General features: G+C 34.8%; 1 protein-coding gene across 38 annotated transcripts in view, besides 1 other annotated feature; it reads right to left on the reverse strand.

Moving 5' to 3' along the window:
- Positions 1-12,916, reverse strand: part of PTPRD (protein tyrosine phosphatase receptor type D) — a 2,298,757-nt gene that overhangs the window by 1,695,755 nt on the left and 590,086 nt on the right. The gene's annotated exons all lie outside the window — the stretch shown is intronic.
- Positions 1,672-2,190: an enhancer, noted in NCBI's record as "NANOG hESC enhancer chr9:10011672-10012190 (GRCh37/hg19 assembly coordinates)". NCBI's record gives its function as "activates a minimal SCP1, AML or CMV promoter by ChIP-STARR-seq in naive H9 embryonic stem cells {active_cell/tissue: H9 hESC(naive)}" and the evidence as "EXISTENCE:reporter gene assay evidence [ECO:0000049][PMID:30033119]".

Here is a 12,916-nt window from a genome sequence, read left to right on the forward strand (position 1 = left end):
GATTACTTTGAAATCCCCTTGGCCGAGAGGAGGGGTCCATTCAGTTGGTTGAGAGGCTTGGAATTTTATTTTTGATTTACACATTTAATCTTTAGAACAATCTAATCGGTTGGTATTATTATCTTCATTTTAAGTTGAGAAAACAAATTTAGGAAATTAACTCACTTGTCCATGTTCACCCAACTAGAAATTGGAAAAGAAACTGCAATCCACATGTCTCCAAACACCATGACCTCAGGGCAAAGAGACTGAGTATAGATTTTAAATTATTTTAAAATGTAATTCATTTACATAGTAATTTTCTCAAAATGCATTAAGCAAGATGTCTACAATTGTTCGAACATGTGCGTTTATATAATTGCCTGTTTGCCTCTCAGATTTTCAGTAATGTCTGCTTGTGTTGATTTTTAAATTTAAAATTTAATTTAATTTAATTTAATTTAACTTTTGGTGGAAAATGAGGGAGGGGATTGGTGAAAAATGAGGAAAATGAGGGAGGACTTATTCAGGTATTGATGAGTTCCATAGGATGAGTTCCACACCTGGGTCAGTGTAGTGTACCTTCAAGTGGCCATGCACAGCACTCAGGCAAGTTGTATACTCAACTCAGTTAATGGTGGCTGGATTTCCAAGCCAGAGGTAACCATTAGGTCCCAACTTCTACTCTTTCACACAAATGCACATAAATAGAGATATTTTGAGAAATCAATGGAATAAAAAATCGAGGTTTGAAAACAATTTTATTTAGATCATTATGGTAATGAGGAGACCAAAAGAATGCTATGAAACTTCTGTGTTAAAACTAACTTAACACTAATAACATTTTTCACATTCCCAATTATTACATATGTCTTTGCATTCAAACCAAGGCAATAATTGTTCTAGTCAAAAGAAAAAAAAATCTAGGTAACATTTTAAATATTCTAGTGTTATCAGGAAAATTAGATCATAAAGTAATTATGGACAAGAAGCCAATACCAAAGTATTTCATCTGGTTAGGACATGGATATACTGCAAATCCTACAAAGTTGTTCATTTCATACAAATATTAAATGAATACATAAATAATTGCTTTAAGAAGAAAGTCATTCTCCACAATCCCTTCACCACACCTTATACCTGTAGAAGGCAATTATTTTAAAAAGAACATAATCACACAGATTAGACTATTTTTCTTGGATTGGAAGGTTCAGCAGAACCTTGACAGTGTTCCAAGTTGTTAACTTTTATTTCAAATACTAAAAACTGAAGATCTGATCATTAGAAAAGCATTGAATTGTAAAATATTGGTGGGTTGGATTGAATTTAGTTAAATTGTTTCCAATTTTCTTTTCCTTGGTAGTTAAGTCACTACATATCTAAAGAGATATCAAGAAGCTGGCATTTCCTAGCAATTTGGAACTTAAAATTTAACAAAACAAATAAAAGAAGAACTTATTCTAACTCATTTTTTGCTTTTAGCTGTCGAATGCATAAGTATCTTAAATTAGTTTTCATTGACTCCTCTACTTTATTTAACAAAAACCAAGGCACAATAATAAATAGACTAGCATCAAAACATAATGCCTTCCCTGCTGATAAATACCCAGTGCAAGATTGGCTTAGATAATATTTGTGTTTTTGGTTTACTTAAAAATGGGTATAAGCTTATTCCTCAAAAAAATATACATTGTAACATGTTGAACTCTGGACATTTGTGGATTTGAAATAGTAATTTATGATTACAAGTTTGAGAAGAATTTCAGAGTCATTCAGTCCCTTAGTTTTCTATTAAAACATTAATTTGAATTTAGAGAAGCATTTCTTATATCTTATCAGTCACCTCCTAAAATGGATTGTATTTAATCAGTAATCAGTACCCTCAGTTTTGGAGGTAAGGATGCAGAGACAGTGGGGATAAACCTTCATAGAGTCCCTTCCATTGTGTCTGGCCAGTGGTATTGTTTTGGCCTTTGTATGTTCCGGAAACTCGCTTTTGTTTTGCTAATTAACTTTTTATCACATTAAATCCTTCTTTTTCAATTATAAATATTGATATTGACAGGAAACATGTAGGTATAACTATTTGTGAAAAGTACTAACATATGTAAGAATTCCCTTCATCAAATGATTTTTAATATTTATTTAATTATTGAAAGTTGTTTAACATTGTAAGACGTATACAAATGGAACTTTGCAAGAATTTTGAAGAATTGTAAAAAAGTACCTCATAGAATATTAAAGGGATAATCATCTATATGACCAAATTGAAATGAGGTTTTAATCACAAGATGAAGTGAGAGATAACAAAAAGGGGGTAGGGTCGGTGGAAGATTCAGACAAGAAGAAAAAAAATTAGCTAAAAAAGTGGAAAAGCAGATGGAAAAAAAAATCGTGTTTTCCACTGTTCCTTTGAGTACTATCACAGTTGCAACTTTTCACTTATGTGTAAGATGATTTTTTAAAGTTTAAGCAATTCCCATCTCAAAAAAGTCATTCTCCACAATCCTTTCACCACACCTTATAACTAAGAAGGCATTTATTTTTAAAAAGAAAATAATCACATACATTAGATTACTAAACTATAAGAGAGAAGTCTAGTAGACAAGAATGCTATAGGAAAATGTCAGATTTTACTCACTATTTCGTTACCCAAGACTAGCACTGTTATTGGAACATGATAATTCCTCAGTGTAAGGTTTTACACCTATCACAAGAACACTGCAATGCTCAATATTTGGGTCATGTGTTAAATATAGAAAAAAGGAAAACCCCGAGTGTGTTCTTGATAGAAAGATTTCCAAGGACCAAACTGCTTGCATAGGTATTGAATCATATGTAATTGGGATAGCTGCTTAGAAGGTAAACTCCAAAGCACAAAATAACAGAAGACATACAACCCAGCAAACACAGTCAAATCAATGAGCATGAGATTAAATTATTACCTGGAAATGATCTTTGTAATTTTCAAGATCATGAATAGATAAATAAAATACTTCAATATTTTAATAATCATTTCCATGATCTGTTAGAAAAGCATATCCGCTAGAGAATAGAATAAGCACAGGAAACGAGAAGTGGCAAATCAATGATTTGAACTTCAATTACACAAATTCAAAGCCAGTATTATTTCTACCATGTTATGTTGTGAGTATACCGAGTATACCTACAATAAGTCTTTATTGTCATGATTTTGTAAAAGAATAAAAGCCTTCAGAAGTTTTTCAGTGACTTTTACAAGGCCACAGATGGACACTGGAGGAGACATCAGGTCCCTGGCCTCTAGTTAGAGAATTTTACTGTGCTAATGCTGGCGAAAGACAGTTATCACAGAAATCAAAGAATAAAATTAAATTTGTATTCAAATGTAAATTTAAGTAAATGAATATTCCATTTGTAAATAAATAATCAATCCTGATTTATGTTATTTGCATATTTTTTAAACACTTAAGACTATATAGGTACTCCTTATTTCCTCTTATAACAAGCCATACCAAAAGGGCAGGAAACAGAGATTCACCTCAGAATTTTTTACCAATTAATTTCAGAGGTAAAGTCAGTGTACAAAGCTGAAGATCATCTACTTCAGATACAATGTAGTAGCTGAAAAAAAAAATTTCAACACAGATAAGTAATTGATGGCAATTACTACAAGTGTAATAAATTTTACAAAGACTCCAGTACACATGGATGAAATACTTCACTGAGTTTTTAATAAAAATAGATGTAGGTATGCTGACAACTTCAGAATTGTTTTTCAAGGTGCTGTTTCAATGAAAGATATATTCAACTTTTATGTTTTAAATTTCTGCTAGCTATTTTATATTTTGGTTCACATAATAATGTTCTAGAATTTGATATTCTTGGTTAATATGCAGAGTCATCTCATAGGTTTTTTTGTTTGTTTCTTCTTTGTGTATAGCTCTCAAAATTTAGGTTTTGTACCCTTCTGCTTAATAGCATTGAATGAAACAAAGGACAAATCTGTAATTCTAAACATGTGTTCTTTATTTTATTCCTTAGTCTAAAGTTATCTCCAAGGTTATTAGAGTTTCTGAATAAATAAATCTTCACATGTCAGCCCCTATCATCCATTTTCAGTTGCCAACTAGAAAAATGGTATCGTAAAAGACTAGAGAGTTGTTTGCTTAAAGTTACATAACATTTCAGTCCTGAATATAATACAAACCAATTTACTGACATCAATCAGTAATGATAATGAAATGTCCCTTAAAGCAGGAAAATAAATGTTTTTCTCACTTCACAGATGAGGAAACTAAGACTCAGTGAGGCTAAGTAATTTGAGCTGCAATTCCCATTCAGGTAATTAGGTTGCAAAGCCCATATTCTTTCCACTTCTCCATTGTCTTCCAAGAAGGAATGTTACATTTACTTTTCACATTTTATTATGTAGACTGTTAATTGCATATATAAAAGTCCAGTGACCATGAAGCATTCTAGGTGCATTTTGACTTTGAGAGTTATTGCTGTATTCAAATGGTTGTTTTCTAATGACTTGGTAACATGAAAGACAATTGTATTCACTCTAGAAATAATGCATTTCCTTACAAAATTATATTTTATTTACATGTCATTAACACTTTCAGTATATTTTACTTTATTGAAAAGACACAGCCTCAACAAGTCATAAATGACAAGAGGAAGCTGACTTTACAGATGAGAAATGAAACGTGAAATAAGAATAGAACAAGGAAAGGAGAGAAACACTTTGATTTGGAACAAATGCATATTTTTAATTATCCATTAAAATTATATGATATAGACCTATTTTGGCATAAATCTGTATTGCAACAAAAGACCTTTGATGTGACTAAGTGCGTGGTTATTTCTATATTTAATTGTGTTTTTTCTTCTATCCTTAAATTGAAGAGACTTACTGCCCCACTTTATGGGGCATTTAAAAACCGCTTCAGTTAGCACTTCCCCTCATTGAATTGTTTGGGATTGAGTAATTAAAATGTCTTCAATATATGGGATCTGTAAATGGTAATAGCCACATGGCATCCACTAGAGTAGTTCTATTATGGGTAATCCACTTGAAGTAATTTCTGAAGACAAGTGTCTTACTCACAGGTATGGAACTCTCACCACCTACCTGGGCAGCTTTTCTATAATTTACTTTTATGGCTTTCAGTTTCAATTGGATTTTATAGGCTTAATGGCTTGGGAAATGATTATGGGCAACAATAACTCAGAATTGACCTTTTCAGAGTTACCAGCTTTTTCATTGGTTTAGCTAACAATGCCGCTAATTGAATTTTTCAGCAACAAAAATATGTGCAATAACAGCTGCTGACTTAGATTTTATAATTATTGTTATTACACTAAATAAATATTTAAGTAGTTAAGAAAATCATGGCAGTAAGACAAGATTATCCACAATAGCACAAAGTCAATGTGTCTATGTGAAAATAATTTACACTCAAATTACTCATGCCTCGTTTGAAAGAAACCCTTTGGGAACAATTAAAGGTGAAGTTGCAATCAACTGACAATTGAGCTCTGAGGCTGTATAGGACATAGTAGAAATATAAAGGCAGTTAGTATTTTATAGGATACTGAAGAAGTAGGAGTCAATCCAAGCCTCAACTTTAAAATGGGGATCACTGTGAGATTTAAATTGTGTACTTACTTGCAAAGCCTTTAACACAAAGCCAGGTAATTCTGATATATTACTAAAAGAAAAAGAACGAGAAGGAAGAGGAGTAGCAGAAAGAAGAGAAAGAGGTGGGGGAACCACAATAGCAGCCAGCAGCTGCCACCATTATCATAGTATCTTAAGAAATTTATTTCTCCTCTGGTAGGATCTAGAAACTAAGCAAGTTTTATAATGTAAGATACTACAAGGTCATTTTGAAACATTTCATTTCAGGATCACATTGAGAAGTACTGCTCTCCTGATCTTAAGACTTTGTACCATGTGTCCCATAAACCTCTCTCTCTAATTACCAGTTGACTGACACCACACTCTGTCTACAAGACAATATACTTGAATCGACTTCTCCTGAGGCAGGTACCAGGCTACAACCACCTTCAATGACTCCTATTGGTCTTTGTCCCTCAGAACCTGGAAATATACTGGCTATCAATCTCAATTAAATCATATGTGGTTGGTAAAGGTCTAATGTGATCTCCCTAAATATGTATACAATTTTGGGAGGTTTGTATATGTACATTTGTTATTTCTTCTTTTCGGCAAGTATTAGAAAAATGCTTGTTTTTAAAAATTTGCTAATGACATTGTTTTCTTTTAAAATACACTTGTTTATAGTAACCCATTTACAGTAGTGAGTTATAACTATTTGAATAAAGTAGCCATCCGTGTGTCCAGGGAAATGAGATAGATGATAGAAAGATTAGATAGATAGATAGATAGATAGATAGATAGATAGATAGACAGATAGATAGGGAAATTCTTTCTTATTTCAGTATGCCAAGAAATATAGATAAAATGATGGTGTCTGTAAATCATCAAAGAAAGCTAAAACTGTGGGTGAAAGTTAGAGAAAGAACAGAATAGTCTCAAAGCATGTCTCTATAGGGTACTTATTAATTATTAAAGGAAAATTGCAATTTTAAAGTGGAGAAATGTGGAGATTGTTTCCAGGTTTGTCTGTTTATTTCTAGTGAAAATGCTACTAGAAATACTACTGAAAATGCCTCCTGTGGGTTGTTTTTTTTTTCCACAGAATTTTGTTCTGTCAGCCAGGCTGGAGTGCAGTGGCAGGATGATGGCTCACTGCATCCTCGATCTCTTGGGCTCAAGCCAGCTTCCTACCTTGGCCTCCAAAGTAGCAGGGACTACATGCATGCACCATCATGTCTGGCTAATCTTTTGATTTTTTGTAGAGACAGGGTCTCGCTATGTTTCCCAAGCTGGTCTCAAAATCCTGAGCTCAAGAGATTCTCCTGCTTTGGCCTCCCAAAGTGCTGGGATTACAGGAGTGAGCCATTGTGCCCTCCTATTGTACATTTGTAAGCATTTCTTTAGGATAGTAATGAGAAGTTTGTGTCACGGTTGAAACACCTTTAGTCTCATAAGAAAATATCAAATTGTTTTCCAAACTGTTCCAATCTACATTCCCACCAGTAATGTGAATAAAGTTCCCAATCATACACATGTTTACTAACAAGTAGTAATATGCCCAATGTTTTTAGTTTTGACAGTCTGGTGGACATCGAATATTAATTATTGTGTTTAATTTGCATTTATCTTATTGATAGCATATTTTCATAAAGGTATAAGCTATTAACTTGTAAAATTTGTCCATTTCTTTGTCCATTTATTTTATCTTTTTTTTTATCAATGTTCAGGAGTCCTTTTTGTAGGTTTTACTGTTTAAGTTATATGTGTTGCATATATTTAATTTTTTGGCTTTACTAATTTTCTTTATGGACTATAAACATGTTTTATAAACAGTTCTTATTTTTATTGGTATAAAATGTATTAATCTTTTCCTTCATGGATTATACCTTATTTAAGCAAAGCTTGTCTTAGAATCCTCCACATCTTAACTATACAGATATTTTATTTTTCATGTTCCTCAAGTCTGGAAGCCTTGTTTTCAGGTTTAAATCTTTAGTTCATTTAGACTGAATGGTGTGAAGTAGGAGGCCAATTTTAATTTTTCCATATGAAAAATCAATTATCTTAGTACATATATTAAATAATCCATCTTTTCTCTGGCAATCGCATCTCTTTCTGGAATCTGTATTCTGTTCTTTACTTATTTCTGTATTACTAAACCAATGACACATTTTCTTATTATATTTATTTAATATTTTGATATTTGGGAGAATTAATTTTTCAAGAATGTCTTGATGAAACTTTCCCCAATTGAATGCCCTCATGTAAAATTGTAACCAACACTCAAATGAAGATTAAAAACATTTGAATACCCTCACTTAAAACAACACTCAAATGAAGTCCCAGAACAGCAGGGGTCCCCAGAGATCTCCCCCATGGTACATTCTAGGACTTAGCTTCTACCCAAGTGGAGTTATTATTTTTAGTTTTAACAGCATAAGTTAGTTTTATTTATTGTCTTTTTCTGACTCTTTACTTTTGATTAGTAATTTCATTACTAGATTATTAGGTTATGAAATCCCCTCTCATACACAAATACACAAAAATAAAGAACCAGGATCTGATGAGAAAGAGGAAGAATGTGAGGGAGGGAGGGGAAGAGGAGGAGAGAGAGAGAAGGAGTAGGAGGAAGGGGAGGAAGACAAAAGAAAAGGAAAGGAAAAAAAAATCTTGGAATTTAGAGGTTTTGATTGGGATTTTTCCCTTTCTATCTCTTTTATATATTCCAATAAATCAGAAGCAATAAGCCGTCAGATACAGGCAGACTTTCTCAGTGTATCTGTCAGTTTCAGAGCTTTCTTAAGTGTCTAGATCTGTGTCCCCTTATAAATTTCATGTTTATCGTGTGATACAAATAGCAGATAAAATTTTTATTTTTTAAGCTTTTAAAAATATTTGTTCTCAAATATACCATTACTCTGCTAAAATGATTTATTTAAGAATTACATTTCTTTTTTTTTTTTTTTTTTTTTTTTTTTGAGACGGAGTCTCGCTCTGTCGCCCAGGCTGGAGTGCAGTGGCGGGATCTCGGCTCACTGCAAGCTCCGCCTCCCGGGTTCATGCCATTCTCCTGCCTCAGCCTCCCAAGTAGCTGGGACTACAGGCGCCCGCCACTACGCCCGGCTAATTTTTTTTGTATTTTTAGTAGAGACGGGGTTTCACCGTTTTAGCCGGGATGGTCTCGATCTCCTGACCTCGTGATCCGCCCGCCTCGGCCTCCCAAAGTGCTGGGATTACAGGCGTGAGCCACCGCGCCCGGCCAGAATTACATTTCTAATACACACATTGTTAATATGCACAATACTTTAAGGGTATTTTTCTGCAAAAATATTTACAAATGGGATCTAATTAAACTAAAGAGCTTCTGCGCAGCAAAAGAAACTACCATCAGAGTGAACAGGCAACCTACAGAATGGGAGAAAATTTTTGCAATCTACTCATCTGACAAAGGGCTAATATCCAGAATCTACAATGAACTCAAATAAATTTACAAGAAAAAACAAACAACCCCATCAAAAAGTGGGCGAAAGATATGAACAGACACTTCTCAAAAGAAGACATTTATTCAGCCAAAAGACACATGAAAAAATGCTCACCATCACTGGCCATCAGAGAAATGCAAATCAAAACCACAGTGAGATACCATCTCACATCAGTTAGAATGGCGATCATTAAAAAGTCAGGAAAAAACAGGGGCTGGAGAGGATGTGGAGAAATAGGAACACTTTTACACTGTTGGTGGGACTGTAAACTAGTTCAACCATTGTGGAAGTCAGTGTGGCGATTCCTTAGGGATCTAGAACTAGAAATACCATTTGACCCAGCCATCCCATTACTGGGTATATACCCAAAGGATTATAAATCATGCTGCTATAAAGACACATGCACACGTATGTTTATTGTGGCACTATTCACAATAGCAAAGACTTGGAACCAAGCCAAAAGTCCAACAATGATAGACTGGATTAAGAAAATGTGGCACATATACACCATGGAATACTATGCATTCATAAAAAAGGATGAGTTCATGTCCTTTGTAGGGACATGGATGAAGCTGGAAACCGTCATTCTCAGCAAACTATCGCAAGGACAAAAAACTAAACACCGCATGTTCTCACTCATAGGTGGGAATTGAACAATGAGAACACACGGACACAGGAAGGGGAACATCACACACTGGGGCCTGTTGTGGGGTGGGGGGGAGCTGGGAGGGATAGCATTAGGAGTTATACCTAATGTTAAATGACGAGTTACTGGGTGCAGCACACCAACATGGCATATGTATACATATGTAACTAACATGCATGTTGTGCACATGTACCCTAGAACTTAAAGTATAATAAAAAAAATTATAGTGCTTTCTTAGTGGCATTGTGAGTTAATTCATATACAGGTTAATGTATATAAACGGTTTATTACAATGTTTGGCACAATAATTTTACTCTTGTTTTATATAACTCAGTTTCAGATGTTGAAGAAAGACGGAAGTTATTAATAACCTTACTTTTGTGATTTGAAGAAGTTAAATATTTATTATTAATAAGAATACTATCTTCTATTTTGAAACAGGAACCATTTTATAACCAAACAGTATTTTTAAAAGTTACTATTTTATTTGGACATTGTTTTCTCTGTGCTTAAAATGAACCAACAATTTGGCACCGCACAATACTATCCCCTAGCTTAGGTGTATATCAATACAATATTAGTTTCTTTTTCTTTTTCTTTTTTCTTTGACGGAGTCTTGCTCTGTCACCAGGCTGGAGTGCAGTGGCATGATCTCGGCTCACTGCGACCTCCACTTCTCGGGTTCAAGCGATTCTCTTGCCTCAGCCTCCCGAGTAGCTGGGACTACAGGTGTGCCGCCATCACACCCAGCTAATTTTTGTTTTTTTAGTAGAGACGGGGTTTCACCACGTTGCCCAGGATGGTCTAGATGGCTTGACTTCATGATCCTTTTTCACATTTATTATGCCACTAGAATATTCTTAGAAATACATGCTAGCCACTTAATATCAATGTGACTGGAAAATCCTATAATTCTCATCATCCCTGCCCACTTATGAATCCCTTGCTTCATCTGAAAACTCTTACTCATCCTCTGTACGGCAAACATTACCTTCTCTGTGAAGATTTGCTAGACTTATACACACCAGTATGGTTGTTCTAAACTCTGTAAAAACACAATTGTGTAGATCACTTACGTTAAACATTTCTGGTTGCTCATCAACAGCCAACCGACTCCCACATACATACACTTGCATTCCCTTCTAATAGATCTGCCTTCCATCATAGAATATGAAAATGTGAGATGCTTGATCTTGTAATGCTGCTTTCAAATGTGGTCAGTGGCACTTAAGAGAGCCTGCCTGTACATTTCTGTAGAAGGTGTTCAGGCATGAGAAAATCAAAGCCTTTGAAGCAGTCATCTTGCAGTCACCTTGTGACCGTGGGTAAATAAACCCAAGAACGGAAATCCGAGGAAAGCAGAGTTACATACAATTAGGACTTTTCCTGAATCCTCCATGACATGTGTGTCACAGGAATAACCAAACCTGGAAATTTGAACTTTCTTCCTTGTTATGTTCGATGATAAACCCCTCTAACATAAGGCAGTTTGGGTCTCATATCTGTTACTTATTTCTGATACACTGCTCTCATACATACCTTTCTAATTTATTGGCACACACAGTGAGCAATGAATAAATGTTTGTTGAATGAAAGCAACAGAGAATCACTTTCCCTTTCATATTCAGGTGCTACCCCACAAGATTATTAGTATTAGGTTGATGCAAAAGTAATCACGGTGTAGCTTAGGTGTATATCAATACAATATTAGTTTCTTTTTCTTTTTTCTTTGACGGAGTCTTGCTCTGTCACCAGGCTGGAGTGCAGTGGCATGATCTCGGCTCACTGCGACCTCCACTTCTCGGGTTCAAGCGATTCTCTTGCCTCAGCCTCCCGAGTAGCTGGGACTACAGGTGTGCCGCCATCACACCCAGCTAATTTTTGTTTTTTTAGTAGAGACGGGGTTTCACCACGTTGCCCAGGATGGTCTAGATGGCTTGACTTCATGATCCTTTTTCACATTTATTATGCCACTAGAATATTCTTAGAAATACATGCTAGCCACTTAATATCAATGTGACTGGAAAATCCTATAATTCTCATCATCCCTGCCCACTTATGAATCCCTTGCTTCATCTGAAAACTCTTACTCATCCTCTGTACGGCAAACATTACCTTCTCTGTGAAGATTTGCTAGACTTATACACACCAGTATGGTTGTTCTAAACTCTGTAAAAACACAATTGTGTAGATCACTTACGTTAAACATTTCTGGTTGCTCATCAACAGCCAACCGACTCCCACATACATACACTTGCATTCCCTTCTAATAGATCTGCCTTCCATCATAGAATATGAAAATGTGAGATGCTTGATCTTGTAATGCTGCTTTCAAATGTGGTCAGTGGCACTTAAGAGAGCCTGCCTGTACATTTCTGTAGAAGGTGTTCAGGCATGAGAAAATCAAAGCCTTTGAAGCAGTCATCTTGCAGTCACCTTGTGACCGTGGGTAAATAAACCCAAGAACGGAAATCCGAGGAAAGCAGAGTTACATACAATTAGGACTTTTCCTGAATCCTCCATGACATGTGTGTCACAGGAATAACCAAACCTGGAAATTTGAACTTTCTTCCTTGTTATGTTCGATGATAAACCCCTCTAACATAAGGCAGTTTGGGTCTCATATCTGTTACTTATTTCTGATACACTGCTCTCATACATACCTTTCTAATTTATTGGCACACACAGTGAGCAATGAATAAATGTTTGTTGAATGAAAGCAACAGAGAATCACTTTCCCTTTCATATTCAGGTGCTACCCCACAAGATTATTAGTATTAGGTTGATGCAAAAGTAATCACGGTTTTTGCCATTGAAAGTAATGGCATTACATTTCAGCAAGTAACTGGAAAGAAAATAAGGCCAAAAGGCACTTGTAGTGCACAGAATAAAAAACAAACTACACAATTTTTACACAGTGAGTATTTCATTCTAAACTATAGGAAAAAAATCATTAAATTAATTTATTGTGGTTTATGTAGATTGGGTAGCAGTTAAGATTTACATTGACTAAGTTTTATTTTAGCCACTAGAATGAATAAAATGCTATAAAGGGGAGCCAAAATGCTGAATTCCCATTTTAAAAATGATTTCTTCCATTAATTGTTTTCCTGTTCTCAATAATTCAACATTATAGAGCAGATAGCCCATTGAATTATATGGTTGTAATTAGGTTGTTCCTTTAGCATGTTTTATGCCTCA

The sequence above is a fragment of the Homo sapiens genome, chromosome 9 (genome assembly GCF_000001405.40).
Source record: "Homo sapiens chromosome 9, GRCh38.p14 Primary Assembly".
Lineage (NCBI taxonomy): Eukaryota > Metazoa > Chordata > Mammalia > Primates > Hominidae > Homo > Homo sapiens.